This window comes from Homo sapiens, chromosome 7 (assembly GCF_000001405.40).
Source record: "Homo sapiens chromosome 7, GRCh38.p14 Primary Assembly".
Taxonomy (NCBI): Eukaryota; Metazoa; Chordata; class Mammalia; order Primates; family Hominidae; genus Homo; species Homo sapiens.
In genome coordinates, this window is record NC_000007.14 from 75,768,524 (window position 1) to 75,791,737 (window position 23,214).

General features: G+C 48.1%; 1 protein-coding gene across 3 annotated transcripts, besides 7 other annotated features; it reads right to left on the bottom strand.

Moving 5' to 3' along the window:
- CCL26 (C-C motif chemokine ligand 26) lies at positions 1,001 to 23,074 on the bottom strand. Of its 3 annotated transcripts, none has more exons than NM_006072.4 (4): positions 21,194 to 21,223; positions 3,581 to 3,731; positions 3,366 to 3,480; positions 1,001 to 1,266 (listed from the first exon to the last, which is right to left on the bottom strand). In NM_006072.4, exons 2-4 carry the CDS (start codon positions 3,651 to 3,653, stop codon positions 1,170 to 1,172), a joined length of 285 nt encoding a protein of 94 aa, NP_006063.1. In that variant the 5' UTR covers positions 3,654 to 3,731; positions 21,194 to 21,223; the 3' UTR covers positions 1,001 to 1,169. The 3 variants fall into 3 exon arrangements, with proteins under 3 accessions (NP_006063.1, NP_001358865.1, NP_001358867.1); NM_001371936.1 differs by lacking the exon at positions 21,194 to 21,223 and adding an exon at positions 22,945 to 23,074 and having other exon boundaries at positions 1,015 to 1,266; NM_001371938.1 differs by lacking the exon at positions 21,194 to 21,223 and having other exon boundaries at positions 1,015 to 1,266; positions 3,581 to 3,688.
- Positions 4,208 to 4,502: a silencer, noted in NCBI's record as "tiled region #12151; K562 Repressive DNase matched - State 5:Enh". NCBI's record gives its function as "represses a minimal TATA promoter and a strong SV40 promoter by Sharpr-MPRA in K562 cells {active_cell/tissue: K562}" and the evidence as "EXISTENCE:reporter gene assay evidence [ECO:0000049][PMID:27701403]".
- Positions 8,094 to 8,223: an enhancer, noted in NCBI's record as "active region_26181". NCBI's record gives its function as "activates an Ori minimal core promoter by ATAC-STARR-seq in GM12878 lymphoblastoid cells {active_cell/tissue: GM12878}" and the evidence as "EXISTENCE:reporter gene assay evidence [ECO:0000049][PMID:35858748]".
- Positions 9,904 to 10,471: an enhancer, noted in NCBI's record as "NANOG-H3K27ac hESC enhancer chr7:75407745-75408312 (GRCh37/hg19 assembly coordinates)". NCBI's record gives its function as "activates a minimal SCP1, AML or CMV promoter by ChIP-STARR-seq in naive H9 embryonic stem cells {active_cell/tissue: H9 hESC(naive)}" and the evidence as "EXISTENCE:reporter gene assay evidence [ECO:0000049][PMID:30033119]".
- Positions 10,472 to 11,039: an enhancer, noted in NCBI's record as "NANOG-H3K27ac hESC enhancer chr7:75408313-75408880 (GRCh37/hg19 assembly coordinates)". NCBI's record gives its function as "activates a minimal SCP1, AML or CMV promoter by ChIP-STARR-seq in naive H9 embryonic stem cells {active_cell/tissue: H9 hESC(naive)}" and the evidence as "EXISTENCE:reporter gene assay evidence [ECO:0000049][PMID:30033119]".
- Positions 12,136 to 12,304: a silencer, noted in NCBI's record as "fragment chr7:75409977-75410145 (GRCh37/hg19 assembly coordinates)". NCBI's record gives its function as "represses an EF-1alpha promoter that drives an FKBP-Casp9 reporter gene in an ReSE screen in K562 erythroleukemia cells {active_cell/tissue: K562}" and the evidence as "EXISTENCE:reporter gene assay evidence [ECO:0000049][PMID:32094911]".
- Positions 19,021 to 19,880: an enhancer, noted in NCBI's record as "OCT4-NANOG-H3K27ac hESC enhancer chr7:75416862-75417721 (GRCh37/hg19 assembly coordinates)". NCBI's record gives its function as "activates a minimal SCP1, AML or CMV promoter by ChIP-STARR-seq in naive H9 embryonic stem cells {active_cell/tissue: H9 hESC(naive)}" and the evidence as "EXISTENCE:reporter gene assay evidence [ECO:0000049][PMID:30033119]".
- Positions 19,881 to 20,739: an enhancer, noted in NCBI's record as "OCT4-NANOG-H3K27ac hESC enhancer chr7:75417722-75418580 (GRCh37/hg19 assembly coordinates)". NCBI's record gives its function as "activates a minimal SCP1, AML or CMV promoter by ChIP-STARR-seq in naive H9 embryonic stem cells {active_cell/tissue: H9 hESC(naive)}" and the evidence as "EXISTENCE:reporter gene assay evidence [ECO:0000049][PMID:30033119]".

A 23,214-nucleotide genomic window follows, 5' to 3' on the forward strand; every position in this document is an offset into this window, starting at 1 on the left:
CGGCCTCCCAAAGTGTTTGGATTACAGGCATGAGCCACTGTGCCCGGACTTTTTATTTTTTATTAAAAAAATATTTTTGAGACAGGGGCTTGATCTGTCACCCAGGCTGGAGTGCAGTGGTGTGATCTTGGCCCATTGCAACCTCTAACTCCTGGCCTCAAGTAATCCTCCTGCCTCAGCCTCCTGAGTAGCTGGGACCACAGGTGTGTGCCACCCCACCTGGCTAATTTTTTGTGTTTTTGTAGAGACAGGGTTTCACTGTGGTGCCCAGGTTAGTCTTTATTATTATTATTATTATTATTTGAGACAGGGTCTTGCTCTGTTGCTCAGACTGGAGTGCAGTGGTGTGATCATGGCTCACTGTATCCTCGACCTCCTAGACTCAAGCAATCCTCCCACCTCAGCCTCCCAAGTAGCTGTGACTACAGGCACCCACCACCACGTCTGAGTAACTGTTAAATTTTTTTGTAGTGATGGGTGCCACTATGTTGCCCAGGCTGATCTCAAACTCCTGGGCTCAAGTGATCCTCCCACCTCAGCCTCCCAGAGTGCTGGGATTACAGCCGTGAACCACTGCACCCGGCTGATTATTTTTGTAAAAAGCTTATTTAAGCTATATAGACAACGCACCCGCAGTTTGGTAGGTAGATAATATTCACATTAACTAATTAGTGTCTTGCTTTCTTAAGAGAAAGCGCTGCCAAACACGGAGCTACTACATTTACACGGCACTGACAGGCTGTGAGGTGTTGCACAGAACTTACTTTTCCAAATAAACTAAACTTTTTTCTCTAAATAATGTTAAAAAATTCACCAAGCATTTTACCAAAGTGTATTAAAATTACCCTTGCTTTTTTTTGCACAAACAAACAAAAACCCACGGCAGAATTCCGTATCGGGGTCTGCCCGGGGGTTGGGGACCTCCCAGGCAACCAGCCATCCATATTGAATCAATTTTCTTTCCTTAAAGAAAACTCGGGTTTTATGGACAAAAAATGTTATGAACAAGTCAACTCTATGAACAACCTTTATTAAAGTAACTCTGGGAGGAAACACCCTCTCCTCCCCAGCGGGTCCATGTAGCCTTCAGAAAAGATTCCGCAGGCTCCCCAGAGGGCTGCAGAGCCAAGAGCGGGGTCCAAGCGTCCTCGGATGAAAATTCAGCTGAGTCACAATTGTTTCGGAGTTTTCAGTAAAGAAATGTATTTTTGCACCCATTTTTTCCTTGGATGGGTACAGACTTTCTTGCCTCTTTTGGTAGTGAATCTGTGAAAAAGAGACACGGATAAGTCAATATTGAGACTCTTTGCCTCCTGGGGTGGGATAGAAAGGGAAGGAGGGGCAGCTCTCTCACTAGTCTTCTGGCCTTGCCACAAACTTGTTGCTCTCTGTCCCTGTCCCCTCTTCTCCTGGGCCTTGTCTCCCTCCTCTTTCCTATCTTGATTTCCACTGGAAACTATGCCTCCAGACCCACCTCTACCAGGTACCATTTACCGTTTTCCACCAGTTCTAGCCTGCAGCATGTAACCTGCACCAGGACACTTAATTTTTTTTTTTTTTTTTTGAGACGAACTCTCACTCTGTTGCCCACATTGGAGTGCAATGGCATGATCTCAGCTCATTGCAACCTCCATTTCCCAGGTTCAAGTGATGCTCCTGCCTCAGACTCCCAAGTAGCTGGGATTATAGGCACGCATCAGCACACCCAGCGAATTTCTGTGTTTTTAATAGAGACAAGGTTTTGCCATGTTGGCCAGGGTGGTCTCGAACTCCTGACCTCAGGTGATCCGCCTGTGTTGGCCTCCCAAAGTGCTGGGATAACAGGTGTGAGCCACCACGCCTAGCCTTTATTTTGTTTTATTTTTTATTTTTTTTGAGACGGAGTTTCACTCTTGTTGCCCAGGCTGGAGTGCAATGGCGCGATCTCGGCTCACCACAACCTCTGCCTCCCAGGTTCAAGTGATTCTTCCGCCTCAGCCTCCCAAGTAGCTGGGATTACAGGCATGCGCCACCACGTCCAGCTAATTTTGTATTTTTAGTAGAGACAGGGTTTCTCCACGTTGGTCAGGCTGGTCTCGAACTCCCAACCTCAGGAGATCTGCCCACCTCAGCCTCCCAAAGTGCTGGGATTACAGGCGTGAGCCACCACGCCCGGCCTATTTTATTTTTTTTGAAACAGTTTCTCTCTTGTCACCCAGGCTGGAGTGCAGTGGCGCGATCTCTACTCCTGCAAACTCCGCCTCCCGGGTTCAAGCGATTCTCCTGCCTCAGCCTCCGGAGTAACTGGGCTTACAGGCCTGCGCCACCTCACCTGGCTGATTCTTTCATTGTAATAGAACAGCTTTGTTGGGATATAATTCACACGGCACATACAGTTGACTCTTGAACAACACGGATTTGAACTCTGTGGGCCCACTCATAGGCAGCCTTTTGCCAACCAAAGGAGGATAGAAAATACAAAACTCGGTGATGCAAAAGCTGCATAAATTCAGGGGAAATTGTATGCCAAAATCCTGGCACCAATCCCCTGTGGTTACTGGGGGATAACTGTAATTCACTCTTTTTTTTCTCTTTTGTTAGGGATGAAGTCTCTCTGTGTTACCCAGGCTGGAGTGCAGTGGTGCGATCATACCTCACTGCAGCCTTGAACTCCTGGGCTCAAGCGATCGTCTAAACCTCCCCACCATGTACAACTCCACCAATTTAAAGGCTATAATTATAATTCAATGGTTTTTAGTATAGTCATAGATTATGCAACCATCACCACAATCAATTTTAGGATATTTTCATCACCCCAGAAAGGAACCCTGCACTCAACATGTCATTTAATTGTTAGCCACATTTTCAAGGTTATTCATCATAGCTGATGATTCCTGAGCTCTTACTTCACTGTGAGTTTATTAAAAGTGGGGATTGGCTGGGTCCAGTGACTCACACTTGTAATCCCAGCATTTTGGGAGGCTGAGGCGGGCAAATCACATGAGCTCAGAAGTTTAAGACCAGCCTGGCCAACCATGGTGAAATTCTACTAATAACACAAAAATTAGCTGAGCATGGTGGCATGTGCCTGTAATTCCAGCTACTTGGGAGGCTGAGGCAGGAAAATTGCTTGAACCCGGGAGGGGGAGGTTGCAGTGAGCCAAGATCGTGCCATTGCACTCTAGCCTGGGCAACAAGAAAGAAACTCCGTCTCAAAAAGAGAAAAAAAAAGTCAGGTTCTACCTGAAGCTCAGAGTCACACTTGTTAGTGTGCAGAGGTGGGGTTTCCAGGTTCCCATCCCAAGGCTCATCCTGGGGGTCTGCCCAGCACCCATCCTGTTGCATGACTGATGGGGCCCCAGAAAGTACGTCCGAGAAATACTCACATCACAGCCCGCTGGGAGCAGCTGTTACTGGTGAATTCATAGCTTCGCACCCAGGTCCAGGGAAGGGGCTTGTGGCTGTATTGGAAGCAGCAGGTCTTGGATATGTCACTCCCACCTAAAAATCAGGGAGAGGAAGGGTTTGGAGATACTCATTTCCATCCACTCCCAGGCGGTCCGGGAAGGAACCCCAGGAGGGGAATGGGCCAGCTACGTACGTGTGGCAGTTCCAAGGTGGAGACTCAGGAGGGAGGCCAGGAGCACAGCAGAGGCCAAGGAGAGGCCCATCATGATGCTGCAAATCAGGCCCTTCTCAGGTTTCTCCCAAACTCCTCCTGCCTGATCCCCTTTTATGAGACTGAGACGGCCCTGAAAACAATTCCAGAGAATTCTGTGGTTGGGAACAGAAGCAGCACTTTTGACCCAACAAAGGAAAAGTAAACTAATACTCATAGGAATGAAATTAGACAGTGAAGAAAGATAATCTGGCACTGGGCGTGGTGGCTCATGCCTGTGATCACAGCACTCTGGGAGACCGAGGTGGGCGGATCCCTTGAGGTCAGGAGTTCAAGATCAGCCTGGCCAACATGGAGAAACCCTGTCTCTACTAAAAACACAAAAATTGGCCGGGCATGGTGGCAGGCAACTGTAATCCCAGCTACTCCTGAGGGTGAGGCAGGAGAATCACTTGAACCTGGGAGGTGGAGGTTGCAGTGAGCTGAGATGGCACCACTGCACTGCAGCCTGGGCGACAGAGTGAGACTCTGCCAAAAAAAAAAAAAACAAACAAACAAACAACAAAAAAAAACAAGTGACAGATGGTAGAGATCCCTTTATTGAATTCCATCAACAGGGACAAAAAAAGAAGAGAATTTGGGAGAAGAGCAGGGGCAGGCAGGCCCCAGGGAGTCTGGTTCCCAGTGCTGTTGGCTGAGTCAACACTTTCTTGTTTAAAAAGAAAAAGCAGAGGAAATTAAGTAATATTCCAGTGAACTGAACTAAGTTACTTTATAGCACAATTGGTTGTTGAAGATAGGTTTCTGGCTCTTGGGCAAAGTTTTGTTTCCTTTCTAAGCATTGCTTATCTCTGTGTGGAGCTCTGGATGGTCTCAAGATGTGATCATAGAGTAGCCCAACCTCGACAATGGATATTTAAAAACAGGGTCCAGGCAGGTGCCAGCCCATCTTCTTGGGGCCACACCTGTAGGGCCAGGGCTGGCTGGGGGCATTTGAGAGATCTAACAGATCCCAAACCTGACAGATCATCACAATCACCCGAGGCTTAAAACAAAACAAAACAAACAAACAACAACAAATAATATATATATATAGTGAGAGAGAGGGCCTGGTCAACATGGTGAAACCCCGTCCCCACTAGAAATAAAAAAATTAGCCAGGCACGGTGGCGGGCACCTGTAATCCCAGCTACTAGGGAGGCTGAGGCAGGAGAATCGCTTGAATGCAGGAGGCAGAGGTTACAGTGAGCCGAGATCCCGCCATTGCACTCCAGCCTGGGCGACAGACCAAGACTGTCTCAAAAAAGAAAAAAAAATAGAGATGAGGTCTCTCTATGTGGCCCAGGTTGGTCTTAAACTCTTGGCTCAAGTGACTGTCTCACCTTGGCCTTCAAAAATGTTGGGATTACAGTGAGCCACCACGTCTGGCCATACCTGGTCAATTATTATTATTATTTTGTGTGTGTGTGTGGGGCCAGTCACAGTGGCTCACGCCTGTAATCCCAGCACTTTGGAAGGCAGAGGCAGGGGGATCGTCTGAGGTCAGGAGGTTGAGATCAGCCTGGCGAACATGGTGAAACCCCGTCTCTACTAAAAATACAAAAATTAGCCGGGCTAATTTTGTGGTGGCTCATGCTTGTAATCCGAGCAACTTGGGAGGCTGAGGCAGGAGAGTCACTTGAACCTGGGGGGCAGAGGTTGCAGTGAGCCAAGATCGTGCCATTGCACTCCAGCCTAAGAAAAAAGAGCAAAACTCTGTCACAAAAAAAAAGAAATTTGTAGAGCCCAAAGGTTGCCAGGCTGGTCTCAAACTCCTGGCTTCAAGGCGATCTGCTTACTCCAGCCTCCCAAAGCACTGGGATTATAGGGGAGAGCCACCACACCTGGCTTCAGCCAAATTTTTAAAAGAACTTAACAGAAGTTTGTGATAGTCAGAGCTGTTGTAGGTGGGAAGAGGATAGATGGTGAGTTGCCTGTCACTCAAACCAGGCACAACAGTCTGGATGATCATGAGAGGGTGGTTTGTTTTTGTTTTTGTTTTTATTGAGATGGAGTTTTGCTCCTGTTGCATACGCTGGAGTGCTATGGCACAATCTCGGCTCACTGCAACCTCTGCCTCCCAGGCTCAAGCAATTCTCGTGACTCAGCCTCCCAAGTAGCTGGGATTACAGGCATGCGCCATCACGCCCGGCTAATTTTGTATTTTTAGTAGAGATGGTGTTTCACCATGTTGGTCAGTCTTGTCTCGAACTCCTGACCTCAAGTGATCCACCTGCCTCAGCCTCCCAAAGTGCTGGGATTACAGGCATAAACCGCCATGCCCAGCTGTTTGTTTGTTTTTTTGAGACAGAGTCTTGCTCTGTCATCCAGGCTGGAGTACAGTGGCACAATCTTAGCTCACTGCAGCCTCCACCTCCTGGGTTCGAATGATTCTTCTGCCTCAGCCTCTGAGTAGCTAGGATTACAGGCATGCACCACCATGCCCGGGTAATTTTTGTATTTTTAGTAGAGACAGGGTTTCACTATGTTGCCCAGGCTGGTCTCGAATTCCTGACCTCAACTGATCTGCCCGCCTCAGCCTCCCAAAGTGCTGAAATTGCAGGTGTGAGCCACCCCACCCGGCCTATTTTTTTTAATTAAATAAAAATTAACTGAGTATGGTGGCATGTGCACCTGTAGGCCCAGCTACTCAGGAGGCCGAGGCAGGAGGGTCACTTGAGCCCAGGAGTTCAAGGCTGCAGTGAACTATGATCATGCCACTGCACTCCAGCCTAGGTGACCGAGCAAGACTCTGTCTCTTTAAAAAAAGAATTATTGGTCGGGCCCGGTGGCTCACCCCTGTAATGCCAGCACTTTGGTAGGCTGATGGGGGTGGATACCTTGAGGTCAGGAGTTCAAGATGAGTCTGGCCAACATGGTGAAACTCCGTCTCTACCAAAAATACAAAAATTAGCTGAGCATGGTGTCGCGTGTCTGTAATCCCAGCTACTTGGGAGGATGAGGCAGGAGTATTGCTTGAACCGGGAGGCAGAGGTTGCAGTGAGCTGAGATCACGCCACTGCACTCCAGCCTGGGCAACAGGGCGAGACTCCATTTCAGAAGGAAAAAAAACAAATTCTTTTTTGACTGAAATCTATATTCCCATTTCTTCTACCTATTGACCCTGTTCTTTACAAAAATGCTTAACTTGTCTTTTATTTTGGAAGATAAAGGAAATTGAGGCTTAGGCAGATTTGAAGATCGTTGTTTTTATTTCAGTTCCTCCAGCAGGCCCTGAGACAAGGATTCTGGTGCAAGTCCTTTATTTGGGAGGTGATTCCACGGGAGCCCCAGGAGAGGAGGGGGAAACTGAGGCAAGGAAGCAGAGGCAGCAACGCAAGGGGAGTTATTAAGCAGGGCATGGCGTGAGCAGCCAAGGAGTTCTGGGAGCCTGTGCAGGGCAGACCTCAGAGCTGGCTTAGCGGGTGGGTCAGGTACCCCCCAGTTCCCTGCTGTCACTGGTTGAGGGCTGCACCCTACACTCCTGGCTTGTGTTATGATCAAACTGAGGGTTCTCTGTGACCAGGAACAAGGCCCTCAGGAAGAGTCCCCAGGAAGTGGCCTTTGGTTTACAAAAGTGACTGCTGAAGGGATACGGGGAGTTACCTGACAGTATCCGCTGAAGCCATGATCATGTTTGCCCTGATGTTCTCTTCTTTAGACTGAACTTTCCTTTTTTTAGTTTTTTTTTTCTTTGAGACTGAGTCTCATTCTGTCACCCAGGCTGGAGTGCAGTGGCTGAAGGCATCCTCCCACCTCCCAAAGTACTGGGATTACAGCAGTGAGCCACCACCCTCCATGGCCTTCTTATAAAGACATATTGGATTTAGAGCCCACTGTAATCCAGTATGTCCTCCTCTTCACTAATTACTTCTGCAAAGGCCCTATTTTCAAATTAGTTCACACTCTTTTTTTTTTTTTTTTTTTTTGAGACAGAGTCTCACTCTGTCGCCCAGGCTGGAGTGCAGTGGCACAATCTCAGCTCACTGCAATCTCCGCCTCCCAGGTTCACACGATTCTCCTGTCTCAGCCTCCCAAGTAGCTGGGATTACAGGCGCACACCACCATGCCCGACTAATTTTTGTATTATTGGTAGAGATGGGGTTTCACCATGTTGGCCAGGCTGGTTTTGAACTCCTGAGCTCAGGTGATTCACCTGCCTCGGTCTCCCAAGTGCTGGGATTACAGGTGTGAGCCACCACACCCAGCCAAAAAAATTTTTTAATTAGCTGGGGCTGGGCATGGTGGCTCACTCCTGTAATCCTAGCACTTTGGGAGGCTGAGGCAGGAGGATCGCTTGAGGCCAGGAGGTGGAGGCTGCAGTGAGCTACGATTGCATCACTGCACTCCAAAAAGGAAGGAAGGAAGGAAGGAAGGAAGGAAGGAAGGAAGGAAGGAAGGAAGGAAGGAAGGAAGGAAGGAAGAAGGAAAGCAAGCAAGAAAGAAAGAAAGAAGAAGGAAAGAAAAAAAGAAAGATAATGGCTGAGGCGTGAACACTTTACGAGAAGGAAACCCACATGGTGAATATAAAAAGCAACTTGGTTTTATTAGTCATCACAGAAATACACACTTAAACCGCAGTGTGCCACTATGCACACACTCACCAGATGGCTACAATGGAAAAAGACAGAAAACATCAAACGTTAGTGAGGATGTGGTGCATGGCAAGTCATACTGCTGGGGGTGGGGTGGAAAACTATTGGCAGTATTTATTAAAGCCAAACATATGCACACTCTATAATCGAGCAATTCCACTCCTAGGCATGTACCCGTCAGAAACGTGTTCATGGCCAGGCGCGGTGGCTCACAACTGTAATCCCAGCACTTTGGGGGGCCGAAGTGGGTGGATCACCTGAGGTCAGGAGTTTGAGACCAGCCTGGCCAACATAGTGAAACCCGGTCTCTACTAAAAATACAAAAAATTAGCCGGGTGTGGTGGTGGACACCTGTAATTTCAGCTACTCAGGAGGCTGAGACAGGAGAATCGCTTGAACCTGGGAGGTGGATATTGCAGTGAGCCGAGATTGCACCACTGCACTCCAGCCTGCGCAGCAAGAGTGAAACTCCATCTTAAAAAACAAAAACAAAAACGTGTTCCTATGTCCACCAAAAGACACACACTAGAATATTCATAGCAGCATTATTTATAATAGCTCCAAACTGGAAATGACCCTCATGTCTGTCAATAGTAGAATGGAAAATAAATTGTCATTTAATAACATAATACAATACTATTCCGCAGTGAGAATGAACTACAGTTACTTGCAACTCACAACCTAATGCTGAGGGGAAAAAGTCAGATATAAGCCAGGTGTAGTGGCTCACACTGCTAATCCCAGCACTTTAGGAAGCCGAGATAGGAGGATCGCTTGAGCCCAGTAGTTGGAGACAAGCCTGGGCAATATAGCAAGACTCCATCTCTACAAAAAGTAAGCAAAATTATCTGAGTTTGGTGGTACATGCCTTTGGTCCCAGCTGCTTGGGAGGCTGAGGTAGGAGGATTGCTGGAGCCCAGGAGTTCAAAGCTCAGGACTACCCAACAGAGTGAGATCCTGTCTCAGAAAAAAAAAAAAAAAAAAAAAGCAGCAGCAGCTAGATAAGAAAGAATAATGTTGTAGGATTCCACCTGTGTAAAGTACCAAACCAAACAAGCAAAACTAATCTTTTTTTTTTTTTTGAGATGGAGTCTTACTCTGTTGCCCAGGCTGGAGTGCAGTGGCACGATCTTGGCTCATTGCAGCCTCTGCATGTTGCCACCATGTTTGTCCAGGCTGGTCTCGAACTCCTGGCCTCAGGTGATTCACCCGCCTCGGCCTCCCAAAGTGCTGGGATTACAGGCATGAGGCACCAACCCCAGCCGACATATTTATTTCAATTACCTTTGATAGGTACCCAGAAGTGAGGTTGCTGGGATGTACTGGCACTCCTATTGCCTATTTGAACTTTCTGAAGAAACTCCCTGCTGTTTTCCATAATGACTGAACCAATTTACATTCCCACCAACAGAGTCGAGGGTTCCCTTGTCTCCACATCTCATCAACACTTATCATTTGTCCTTTTTAAATGTTTTGTTCTAATTGAGACATGGTCTCACTCTGTCACCCAGGCTGGAGGGCAGTGGCACGATCATAGCTCACTGCAGCCTTGACCTCCTGGGCTCAAGCGATCCTCCCACCTCAGCTTCCTGAGTAGCTGGGACTACAGGTGTGTGTCACCATGTCTGGCTAGTTTCTGTATTTTTGGTGTGGTTTTTTTTTTTTTTTTGGTAGAGATGAGGTTTTGCCATGTTGCCCAGGCTTCACTTGTCTTTTTGATAAATAGCCATTCTAATGGTGTGAAGTGATATATCTCACTGTGGTTTTGATTTGCATTTCTCTAATGATTAGTGATGTTGAGCATTTTTTTTTTTAATGTACCTGGTGGTCATTCGTATGTCTTTGAGAAATGTCTATTAAGGGTTCTTTGCACTTTTTTTTTTTTTTTTGAGACAGAGTCTTGCTCTGTTGCCCAGGCTGGAATGCAGTGGCTCAATCTCAGCTCACTGCAACCTCTGCTTCCCAGGCTCAAGCTATTCCCCTGCATCAGCCTCCTGAGCCACCATGCCCATAAAACTAATCTTTAAAGGATGGGAGTCATGCCGGGCACGGTGGCTCATGCCTGTAATCCCAGCACTTTGGGAGGCCAAGGTGGGGGGGGCAGATCACTAGGTCAGGAGTTCAAGACCAGCCTGACCAACATGGTGAAACCCCATTGTCAGGCCTCTGAGCCCAAGCTAAGCCATCATATCCCCAGTGACCTGCACGTATACATCCAGATGGCCTGAAGTAACTGAAGAATCACAAAAGAAGTGAAAATGGCCTGTTCCTGCCTTAACTGATGACATTACCTTGTGAAATTCCTTCTCCTGGCTTATCCTGGCTCAAAAGCTCCCCCACTGAGCACCTTGTGTCCCCCACCCCTGCCCGCCAGAGAACAACCCCATTTGACTGTAATTTTCCATTACCTACCCAAATCCTATAAAACAGCCCCACCCCTATCTCCCTTCGCTGACTCTTTTCAGACTCAGCCCGCCTGCACTCAGGTGATTAAAAAGCTTTATTGCTCACACAAATCCTGTTTGGTGGTCGCTTCACACGGACGCGAGTGGAATTTGGTGCTGTGACTCGGATCGGGGGACCTCCCTTGGGAGATAAATCCCATGTCCTCCTGCTCTTTGCTCCGTAAGAAAGATCCACCTATGACCTCAGGTCCTCAGACCGACCAGCCCAAGGAACATCTCACCAATTTTAAATTGGGTAAGTGGCCTCTCTTTACTCTCTTCTCCAATCTCTCTCACTATCCCTCAACCTCTTTCTCCTTTCAATCTTGGCACCACCCTTCAATCTCTCTCTTCTCTTTATTTCAGTTCCTTTCCTTTTCTGGTAGAGACAAAGGAGATGCGTTTTATCCGTGGACCCAAAACTCCGGCTCCAGTCATGGACTCGGGAAGACAGTCTTCCCTTGGTGTTTAATCACGCGGGGACGCGTGCCTGATTATTCACCCACATTTCATTGTTGTCTGATCACCGCAGTGACGCCTGCCTTGGTCATTCACCCACATTCCCTTGGTGGCAAGTCAATTGCAGGGACGCCTGCTTTGGCTGCTCACCCACATTGCAGCCCAGGGCTGCTCCCCACCCCTTCTCTCTGTGTCTCTATCCCTTTTCCACTTTCCTGGAGGGCAAGCCCCTCCCACCCTTTCTCCACTTTCCTGGGGGGCAAGCACCCCCCTCCCCTTCTGTCCATGTCTCTACCCTCTCTTTTCTCTCCACTTTCCTAGGGGACAAGCACCTCCTACCCCTTTTCCACTTTCCTGGGGGGCAAGCACCCCCCACCCCTTCTGTCCATGTCTCTACCCTCTCTTTTCTCCACTTTTCTGGGGGGCAAGCACCTCCCATCCCTTTTCCACTTTCCTGGGGGGCAAGCACCTCCTACCTTTTCTCCACTTTCCTGGGGGGCAAACACTTCCCACCCCTTTTTCCACTTTCCTGGGGGGCAAGCACCTCCCACCCCTTCTCCACTTTCCTGGGAGGCAAGCATTCCCCACCCCTTCTCTCCGTGTCTCTACCCTATCTTTTCTCTCCACTTTCCTGGGGCACAAGCACCCACTAACTTTTCTCTCTGTGTCTCTACCCTCTCTTTTCTCTGGGCTTGCCTCCTTCACTATGGACAACCTTCCACCCTCCATTCCTCTCTCTTCTCCCTTAGCCTGTGTTCTCAAAAACTTTTAAAACCTCTTCAACCGACACCTGACCTAAAACCTAAATGCCTTATTTTCTTCTGCAGCACCACTTGACCCCAATACAAACTCGACAGTTGTTCCAAATAGCCAGAAAAATGGCACTTTCGATTTTTCCATCCTTCAAGATCTAGATAATTCTTGTCATAACATAGGCAAACAGTCTGAGGTGCCTGACGTCCAGGCATTCTTTTACACATCAGTCCCTCGCTAGTCTCTGTTCCCAATGCAACTCATCCCAAATCTTGCTTCTTTCCCTCCCGCCTGTCCCCTCAGTCCCAACCCCAAGCGTCTCTGAGTCTTTCCAATCTTCCTTTTCTATGGACCCATCTGACCTCTCCCCTCCTCCACAGGCTGCTCGTTGCCAGGCCGAGCCAGGTCCCAGTTTTTCCTCAGCCTCCGCTCCCCCACCCTACAATCCTTTTATCACCTCACCTCCTCACACCCCGTCCGGCTTACAGTTTCGTTCCATGACTAGCCCTCCCCCACCTGCCCAGCAATTTCCTCTTAAAAAGGTGGCGGGAGCTAAAGGCATAGTCAAGGTTAATGCTCCTTTTTCTTTATCTGAACTCTCCCAAATCAGTTAGCATTTAGGCTCTTTCATCAAATATGAAAAACCCAGCCCAGTTCATGGCCCATTTCACAACAACCCTTAGCGGCTTTACAGCCCTAGGCCCTGAAAGGTCAGAAGGCCGTCTTATTCTCAATTTACATTTTATTACCCAATCCACTCCCGACATTAAATAAAACTCCAAAAATTAAATTCTGGCCCTCAAACCCCACGACAGGACTTAATTAACCTTGCCTTCAAGGTATACAATAATAGAGTAGAGGCAGCCAAGTAGCAACGTATTTCTGAGTTGCAATTCCTTGCCTCCACTGTGAGACAAACCCCAGCCACATCTCCAGCACACAAGAACTTCCAAACTCCTGAACCGCAGCTGCCAGGGGTTCCTCCAGAACCTCCTACCCCAGGATCTTGATTCAAGTGCCAGAAATCTGGCCACTGGGCCAAGGAATGCCCGCAGCCCAGGATTCCTCCTAAGCCTTGTCCCATCTGTGTGGGACCCCAATGAAAATAGGACTGTCTAACTCACTGTCAGGGCTCTGAGCCCAAGCTAAGCCATCATATCCCCAGTGACCTGCACGTATGCATCCAGATGGCCTGAAGTAACTGAACAATCACAAAAGAAGTGAAAATGGCCTGTTCCTGCCTTAACTGATGACATTACCTTGTGAAATTCCTTTTCCTGGCTCATCCTGGCTCAAAAGCTCCCCCACTGAGCATCTTGTGACCCCCGCCCCTGCCCGCCAGAGAACAACCCCCTTTGACTGTAATTTTCCTTTACCTATCCAAATCCTATAAAACAGCCCCACCCCTATCTCCCTTCACTGACTCCTTTTTCGGACTCAGCCCACCTGCACCCAGGTGAAATAAACAGCTTTGTTGCTCACACAAAGCCTGTTTGGTGGTCTCTTCACATGGACACGTGAGACATTTGGTGCTGAAGACCCAGGTCAGTGGGACTCCTTCGGGAGACCAGTCCCCTGTCCTCACCCTCACTCCATGAAGTGATCCACCTATGACTTCTGGTCCTCAGACCAACCAGCCCAAGGAATATCTCACTGATTTAAAATTGGGTAAGTGGCCTCTTTTTACTCTCTTCTCCAACCTCTCTCACTATCCCTCAACCTCTTTTTCCTTTCAATCTTGGCGCCACCCTTCAATCTCTCCCTTCTCTTAATTTCAATTCCTTTCATTTTCTGGTACAGACAAAGGAGACACATTTTATTCGTGGACCCAAAACTCCGGCGCCAGTCACGGACTCGGGAAGGCAGCCTTCCCTTGGTGTTTAATCATTGCGGGGACGCCTCTCTGATTATTCACCCACGTTGCATTGGTGTCTGATCTCTGCGTGGACGCCTGCCTTGGTCATTCACCCACATTCCCTTGGTGGCAAGTCAATTGCGGGGACACCTGGTTTGGCTGCTCACCCACATTGCAGCCCAGGGCTGCTCCCCACCCCCCTTCTCCATGTCTCTACCCTTCTCTTTAAACTTGTCCCCTTCACTATGGGCAACTTTCCACCCTCCATTCTTCCTTTTTCTCCCTTAGCCTGTGTTCTCAAGAATTTAAAACCTCTTCAACTCTCACCTGACCTAAAATCTAAGCGTCTTATTTTCTTCTGCAATACCGCTTGGCCCAATACAAACTCGACACTAGCTCCAAGTGGCCAGAGAATGGCACCTTCCATTTGTCTATCCTACAAGATCTAGATAATTTTTGTCGAAAAATGGGCAAATGGCCTGAGGTGCCTGACGTCCAGGCATTCTTTTACACATTAGTCCCTCCCTAGTCTCTGCTCCCAATGAGACTCATCCCAAATCTTTCTTCTTTCTCTCCTGTCTGTTCCTTCAGTCTCCACCCCAAGCTCTGAGTCCTTTGAATCCTTCTTTTCTATGGACTCATCTGACCTCTCCCCTTTTCTCCAGGCTGCTCCTCACCAGGCCAAACCAGGTCCCAATTTTCCTCAGCCTCTGCTCCCCAACCCTATCATCCTTCTATCACCTCCCCTCCTCACACCCGGTCTGGCTTACAGTTTCGTTCCGTGACTAGCCCTCCCCGACCTGTCCAACAATTTCCTCTTAGAGAGGTGGTTGGAGCTGAAGACATAGTCAGGGTACATGTGCCTTTTTCTCTATCAGACATTCCCAAATCAGCCAGTGTTTAGGCTCTTTCTCATCAGACCCCACTAAATATATACAGGAATTCCGATATCTAACTCTGTCCTACAATTTAACCTGGAGTAACTTAAATGTCATCCTAACTTCTACCCTCTCCCCAGATGAACAGGAAAGAGTTTTTTCTCTAGCCCAATCTCACACTGATAACCGCCGGCTTCACGAGCCAGACCTCCAGGAAGTTATTAGAGCAGTTCCCCTAGGAGATCCAAAATGGAACTATCAGGCTGATTCCCCAGGTATAGCTAGGTGAGATTACATGGTTTCCTGCCAGGTTGAAGGGCTTAAAAAGGCAGCTTACAAAGCTGTTAATTATGACAAACTTAAAGAAACTACCAGCCAGGCACGGTGGCTCACGCTTGTAATCCCAGCACTTTGGGAGGCCGAGGTGGGCGGATCACGAGGTCAGGAGATCGAGACTACGGTGAAACCCCATCTCTACTAAAAATACAAAAAATTAGCCAGGAGTGGTGGCAGGCGCCTGTAGTCCCAGCTACTCGGGAGGCTGAGGCAGGAGAATGGCGTGAACCCGGTAGGTGGAGCTTGCAGTGAGCTGAGATCGTGCCACTGCACACCAGCCTGGGCAACAGAGCGAGACTCCAGCTCAAAAAAAAAAAAAAAAAGAAAGAAACTACCCAAGGTAAAGAACCCAGTCCAGTTCATTGCCCACTTAGCAGCAACTCTGAGATGCTTTACAGCCCTACACCCTGAAAGGTCAGAAGTCCGTCTTATTCTCAATATACATTTTATTTTATTACCCAATCTGCTCCTGACATTAAATAAAGCTCCAAAAATTAAATTCCAGCCTCAAACCGCACAATAGGACTTAATAACCTCGCCTTCAAGGTGTACAATAATAGAGTAGAGGAAGCCAAGTAGCAATGTATTTCTAAGTTGTAATTCCTTGCCCCCACTGTGAGACAAACCCCAGCCACATCTCCATCACACAAGAGCTTCCAAACGCCTGAACCGCAGCTGCCAGGGGTTCCTCCAGAACCTCCTCCCCCAGGAGCTTGCTATAAGTGCTAGAAATCTGGCCACTGGGCCAAGGAATGCCCACAGCCCAGGATTCCTCCTAAGCTGTGTCCCATCTGTGTGGGACCCCACTGGAAATCGGAATGTCCAACTCGCCCAGCAGCCACTCCCAGAGCCCCTGGAACTCTGGCCCAAGGCTCTCTGACTGACTCCTTCCCAGATCTTCTCGGCTTAACGGCTGAAGACTGACACTGCCTGAACACCTCGGAAGCCTCCTGGACCATCACAGATGCTTTGGGTAACTCTTACAGTGGAGAGTAAGTCGTCCCCTTCTTAATCAATACAGAGGCTACCCACTCCACATTACCTTCTTTTCAAAGGCCTTTTTCCTTTGCCTCCATAACTGTTGTGGATATTGATGGCCAGGCTTCTAAACCTCTTAAAACTCCCCAACTCTGGTGCCAACTTGGACAACATTCTTTTATGCACTCCTTTTTAGTTATCCCCACCTGCCCAGCTCCCTTATTAGGTTCAGAAATTTTAACTAAATTATCTGCTTCCCTGACTATTCCTGGGTTACAGCCACACCTCATTGCCACCTTTTCCCCCAGTTCAAAGCCTCCTTCACATCCTCCCCTTGTATCTCCCCACCTTAAACCACAAGTATAGGACACCTCTACTCCCCCCTTGGTGACCGATCATGCACCCCTTACCATCCCATTAAAACCTAATCACCCTTACACCGCTCAACGGCAATATCCCATCTCACAGCATGCTTTAAAAGGATTAAAGCCTGTTATTACTCGCCTGTTACAGCATGGGCTTCTAAAACATAAAAGCTCTCCTTACAATTTCCCCATTTTACCTGTCCAAAAACCAGACAAGTCTTACAGGTTAGTTCAGGATCTGCACCTTATCAACCAAATTGTTTTGCCTATCCACCCCGTAGTGCCCAACCCATACACTCTTTTGTCCTCAATACCTTCCTCCACAACTCACTATTTTGTTCTTGATCTTAAAGATGCTTTTTTCACTCTTCCCCTGCACCCCTCATCCCAGCCTCTCTTTGCTTTTACCTGGACTGACCCTGACACCCATCAGTCCCCGCAGCTTACCAGGGCTGTGCTACCGCAAGGCTTCAGGGACAGCCCTCATTACTTCAGCCAAGCTCTTTCCCATGATTTATTTTCTTTCTACCCCTCTGCTTCTCACCTTATTCAATATATTGATGACCTTCTACTTTGTAGCCCCTCCTTTGAATCTTCTCAACAAGACACTCTCCTGCTCCTTCAACATTTATTCTCCAAAGGATATCAGGTATCCCCCACAAAGCTCCAATTTCTTCTCCATCCATTACCTACCTCGGCATAATTCTTCATAAAAACACACGTGCTCTCCCTGTCGATCATGTCTGACTGATCTCTCAAACCCCAACACCTTCTACTTAACAACAAGTCCTTTCCTTCCTGGGCATGGTTGGATACTTTCACCTTTGGATACCTGGTTTTGCCATCCTAACAAAACCTTTACATAAACTCACAAAAGGAAACCTAGCTGACCCTATCGATCCTAAATCCTTTCCCCATTCCTCTTTCCGTTCCTTGAAGACAGCTTTAGAGACTGCCCCCACTCTAGCTCTCCCTGACTCATCCCAACCCTTTTCATTACACACAGCCAAAGTGCAGGGCTGTGCAGTTGGAATTCTTACACAAGGACCGGGACCGCGCCCTGTAGCCTTTTTGTCCAAACAACTTGACCTTGCTGTTTTAGGCCAGCCATCATGTCTCCATGCAGCGGCTGCTGCCACCCTAATACTTTTAGAGGCCCTCAAAATCGCAAACTATGCTCAACTCACTCTCTACAGTTCTCATAACTTCCAAAATCTATTGTCTTCCTCACACCTGACACATATACTTTCTGCTCCCTGGCTCCTTCAGCTATACTCAGTCTCTGTTGAGTCTCCCACAATTACCATTGTTCCTGGCCCAGACTTCAATCCGGCCTCCCACATTATTCCAGATACAACACCTGACTCCCATGACTGTATCTCTCTGATCCAGCTGACATTCACCCCATTTCCGCATATTTCCTTCTTTCCTGTTCCTCACCCTGATCACATTTGGTTTATTGATGGCAGTTCCACCAGGCCTGATCGCCACTCACCAAAAAAGGCAGGCTATGCTATAGTATCTTCCACATCTATCATTGAGGCTACCGCTCTGCCTCCCTCCACTACCTCTCAGCAAGTCAAACTCATTGCCTTAACTCGGGCCCTCACTCTTGCAAAGGGACTACGCGTCAATATTTATACTGACCCCATATCCTGCGCCACCATACTGTTTTATGGGCTGAAAGGTTTCCTCCCTCGTAAGGGTCCTCCATCATTAATGCCTCTTTAATAAAAACTCTTCTCAAGGCCGCTTTACTTCCAAAGAAAGCTGGAGTCAAAGCAGGGCCATCAAAAGGCATCAGATCCCGTAGCTCAGGGCAACGCTTATGCTGATAAGGTAGCTTTTAAAGAAGCAGCTAACGTTCCAATGGCCAGTTTTTCTTCTTCTCATCGGTCACTCCCACCTACTCTCCCACTGAAACTTCCACCTATCAATCTTTTCCCACACAAGACAAATGGTTCTTAAACCAAGGAAAATATCTCCTTCCAGCCTCACAGGCCCATTCTATTCTGTCATTTCATAACCTCTTCCATGTAGGTTACAAGCTGCTAGCCCGCCTCTTAGAAACTCTCATTTCCTTTCCATCATGGAAATCTATCCTCAAGGAAATCATTTATCAGGGTTCCATCTGCTATTCTACTACTCCTCAGGGATTGTTCAGGCCCCATCCCTTTCCTGCACATCAAGCTGGGGGATTTGCCCCCGCCCAGGACTGGCAAATTGACTTTACTCACCCTGAGTCAGGAAACTAAAATACCTCTTGGTCTGGGTAGACACTTTCACTGGATGGGTAGAGGCCTTTCCCACAGGGTCTGAGAAGGTCACTGCAGTCATTTCTTCCCTTCTGTCAGACGTAATTCCTCGGTTTGGCCTTCCCACCTCTATACAGTCCGATAATGGACTGGCCTTTATTAGTCAAATCACCCAAGCAGTTTCTCAGGCTCTTGGTATTCAGTGGAAACTTCGTACCCCTTACCATCCTCAATCTTCAGGAAAGGTAAAACGGACTAATGGTTTTTTAAAGACACACCTCACCAGCCGGGCACAGTGGCTCACGCCTGTAATCCCAGAACTTTGGGAGGCTGAGGCGGGCAGATCACAAGGTCAGAAGATCAAGATCATCCTGGCTAACATGGTGAAACCCCGTCTGTACTAAAAATACAAAAAAATTAGCCAAGCGTGGTGGCAGGCACCTGTAGTCCCAGCTACTCGGGAGGCTGAGGCAGGAGGATGGTGTGAACCTGGGATGTGGAGCTTGCAGTGAGCCGGGATCACACCACTGCACTCCAGCCTGGGCGACAGAGTGAGACTCCGTCTCCAAAAGCAAAAAAAAAAAAAAAAAAAAAAAGACACACCCCCCAAGCTCAGCCTCTCAACTTAAAAAAAAAAATAAAAGGACTCTGTCAAAAACAGAGCCCAAAAACTCACCAACCAAACAAGTAATTACACTAAACCCCCTTGGACACTCTCTAATTGGATGTCCTGGGTCCTCCCAATTCTTAGTCCTTTAATACCTGTTTTTCTCCTTCTCTTATTCGGAACTTGTGTCTTTCGTTTAGTTTCTCAATTCATACAGAACGGCATCCGGGCCTTCACCAATCGTTTTATATGACAAATGCTCTTTTTAACAACCCCACAATATCGCCCCTTACCACAAAAATCTTCCTTCAACTTAATCTCTCCCACTCTAGGTTCCCATGCCGCCCCTAATCCTTCTCGAAGCAGCCCTGAGAAATATCGCCCATTATCTCTCCATACCACCCCCAAAAATTTTCGCCGCCCCAATACTTTACCACTATTTCGTTTTATTTTTCTTATTAATATAAGAAGACAGGAATGTCAGGCCTCTGAGCCCAAGCTAAGCCGTCGTATCCCCCAGTGACCTGCACGTATACATCCAGATGGCCTGAAGTAACTGAAGAATCACAAAAGAAGTGAAAATGGCCTGTTCTTGCCTTAATTGATGACATTACCTTGTGAAATTCCTTCTCCTGGCTCATCCTGGCTCAAAAGCTCCCCCACTGAGCACCTTGTGTCCCTCACCCCTGCCCGCCAGAGAACAACCCCTTTTGACTGTAATTTTCCATTACCTACCCAAATCCTATAAAACGGCCCCACCCCTATCTCCCTTGGCTGACTCTCTTTTTGGACTCAGCCCGCCTGCACCCAGGTGACTAAAAAGCTTTATTGCTCACACAAAGCCTGTTTGGTGGTCTCTTCACATGGACGCGAGTGAAACCCATCTCTACTAAAAGTACTAACATTAGCCAGGTGTGGTGGTGTGCGTCTGTAATCCCAGCTACTCAGGAGAATCCCTTGAACTCGGGAGGTGGAGATTGCAGTGAGCCAAGATCACACCACTGCACTCTAGTCTGGGCGACAGAGCAAGACTCCGTCCAAAAAAAAAAAAAGAAGAAAAAAAAAGATGGGAGTCAGAAGAGTGGTCACCCTTTGGGGCAACTGACTTAAAGCGGTTTCAAGGGGGCGTTCTGGGGGCTGGTATGCTCTGTTCCTTTATCTGGGTGCTGGTTCACCTTTTAACCCTTGTGGAAATTCTTTGAGTTGTACTCTTAGAGTTTGCATACCTTTCTTTTCTCTTTTTCTTGTTTTTTAAGATAGGATCTCACTCTGTCACCCAGGCTGGAGTGCAGTGATGCTGTCATAGCTCACTGCAGCCTCAACTTTCCAAGGCTCAAGGGATTCTCCCTCCTTAGCCACCCGAGTAGCCAGGACTACAGGTGCGCACCACCGTGCCCAGTTCATTTTTTGATTTTTTTTTTTTTTTTTGTAGAGATGTGGCGGGCGGGGGGGTCTCTCTGTGTTGCCCAGGCTGGTCTCAAACTCCTGGCCTCAAGTGATCCTCCTGCCTCAGCCTCCCAAAGTGCTGGGATTATAGGTGCCAGCCACCGTGCCTGGCCTGCGTACTTTTCTATATGTATATTATATTTCAATAAATTAGTAAAGAGGAATGAAATGATATGGCGAATAAACAAAACAAATAATTCTGCAGTTAAGGAAATGTAATATGGGAGCCATGGCCTCCCTACGTTCTCTCCCTCCTTCCTTGAGATGAGAATATTTCTCTCTCTCTCTCTCTTTGCCACTCTTCTGGGAACATCCATTTCTCTTTTTCTCTTTTTTTTTTTTTTTTGCCAGAATGTTTCTCATTTCAAGAGAAAGTGCTGGCTGCCTACAGCATGTCAGACCCCAGCTGTTTTCCATACTTCTGCCTTTCCCTGCCTTTGGCAATGGAGTCTATCCTCTGAAAATTCTCTTCTGCAATGAGAAACCCCCACACTTTGCCCCCCTCCCCACCACCAAACAAGGCCCATTACTTCCTTCCAAACCCCAACCTGGCAGGTTCCCAGAAACAAAGTCCCTGACCCTTACCTGGGGTCTTTGGCTCAGCCTCAATTCCAGACTCCTGGCTCATCCTCCAGAGCTTGCTAGTGCTGCTCCAGTCCCTGGGATCTGCGGTACCCCTGGGACCCCAAGTCAAGACCTCCTCTTGGCTTACGTAAGGACATTTACAAACAGCCATTCCCAAATAACTCACATTTCTGAGGTTCTGGGTGGACAATGAATTCTTGGGGTATATTATTCAACCCAGTACAGATGTATTGCAGAAATAATCTCCCATCCCACAGATTGCCTTTCTACGTCTTACGGTTCTCCCTCCCTCCCTCCCTCCCTTCCTTCCTTCCTTCCCTCCATTCCTCCCTACCTCTCTTTCTTTCTTTCCCTTCTTTTCTTCCTTCTTCCCCAGCTCTCTCCCTCCTTTTCTCTTTCTTTTTCTTTCTTTCTTTCTCTCTCTCTCTTTCTGTCTCTCTCCCTTCCTTCCTTCCTTCCTTCCTTTCTTTCTTTCTTTCTTTCTTTCTTTCTTTCTTTCTTTCTTCCTTCCTTCCTTCCTTCCATCCTCCCTCCCTCCCTCCCTCCATACCTCTTTCTCTCTCTTTCTTTTCTTTTTCTTTTCTTTGCAGTGGTGCAATCATAGCTCCCTGCAACCTCAAGATCCTGGGCTCAAGCAGTCCTCCCACCTCAGCCTTCTGAGTAGCTGGAACTACAGGCATGCACCACCATGTTCTGCTAACTTAAAAAAAAAATTGTAGAGATGGGGTCTTGCTGTGTTGCCCAGGCTGGTCTTGAATTCCTGGCCTCAATCTCCTGGACTTAAGTGATCCTCCCACCTCAGCCTCCCAAAGTGCTAGGATTACAGGCAGGAGCTGCTGTGCCTGGCCTCTTATGGATGTCTTCTAATGGATTTTAATATAGTTTTATTTATCAGCTTTCCTCCTGTATGGGTAAGTGATTATACCCTGTTTATAAAACATTTGAGGCTGGACATGGTGGCTCACACCAGTAATCCCAGCACTGTGGGAGGCCGAGGCAGGCAGATCACTGGAGGTCAGGAGTTCAAGACCAACCTGGCCAATGTGGTGAAATCCCGTCTCTATTAAAAATACAAAAATTAGCCAGGTGTGATAGTGAGTGCCTGTAGTCTCAGCTACTCGGGAGGCTGAGGCAGGAGAATAGCTTGAGTTTGGAAGGTGGAGTTTGCAGTGAGCCAAGATTACGCCACTGCACTCCGGCCTGGGCGATAGAGACTCCATTTCAAAAAAAAAAAAATTTGAGTCCCTTCACCCAAGAGGCATGTCTGTCTATAAATGGCTTCTGCTGAAACTCCTCCTTTTTTTTTTTTTTTTCTTTTTTTCTTTTTGAGACAGAGTCTTGCTCTTGTCACGCAGGCTGGAGTGCAATGGCACGATCTCGGCTCACTGCAACTTCTGCCTCCCGGGTTCAAGCAATTCTCCTGCCTCAGCCTCCCGAGTAGCTGGGATTACAGGCACCCGCCACCACACCTGGCTAATTTTTGTATTTTTAGTAGAGACAAGGTTTTGTCATGTTGGCCAGGCTGGTCTCAAACTCCTGGCCTCGTGATCCACCCGCCTCAGCTCCCAAAGGGCTGGGATTACAGGTGTGAGCCACCACGCCTGGCTGAAACTCCCTCTTGGTACTTGTGTCCGAGGCCCCCTCAGTCAGGACCTTGAGTATGCCCTTGATGTCAGCCCATAGCTGGCGGCCCTGGCTCCTGCTCTCTTCCCTCCAGGCCCTTCCCTGTGGCTGAAGCCCCTTCCCTGTACCCTCCAGGTTGCTTCCTGGGCTCCAGATTCCTCTGTGTGGATCTCCCAGGAGCCCCCATCTGCTGTGGTTCCCAGGGTCTAGGCTGCCATCTGGGCTTCCCACTTCTCGGCCTCTCAAAGTGCTGGGATTACAGGCGTGAGCTGCTGTGCCAGGCTGTAAGTTTTAATGAGGTCATAAGGATGGGACTCTGATCCAACATGACAGATGTCCTTATAAGAAAAGAAGCCAGGCCTGGGTGACTCATGCCTGTAATCCCAGCACTCCCAGGC

Coding starts and splice junctions, on each gene's coding strand:
- CCL26 (NM_006072.4), bottom strand. CDS start 3,653: ATGATGGGCCTCTCCTTGGCCTCTGCTGTGCTCCTGGCCTCCCTCCTG. Junction 3,481..3,580: donor CCACCTTGGAACTGCCACAC/GTACGTAGCTGG, acceptor CCTGATTTTTAG/GTGGGAGTGACATATCCAAG. Junction 1,267..3,365: donor TGCTCCCAGCGGGCTGTGAT/GTGAGTATTTCT, acceptor TCTTTTTCACAG/ATTCACTACCAAAAGAGGCA.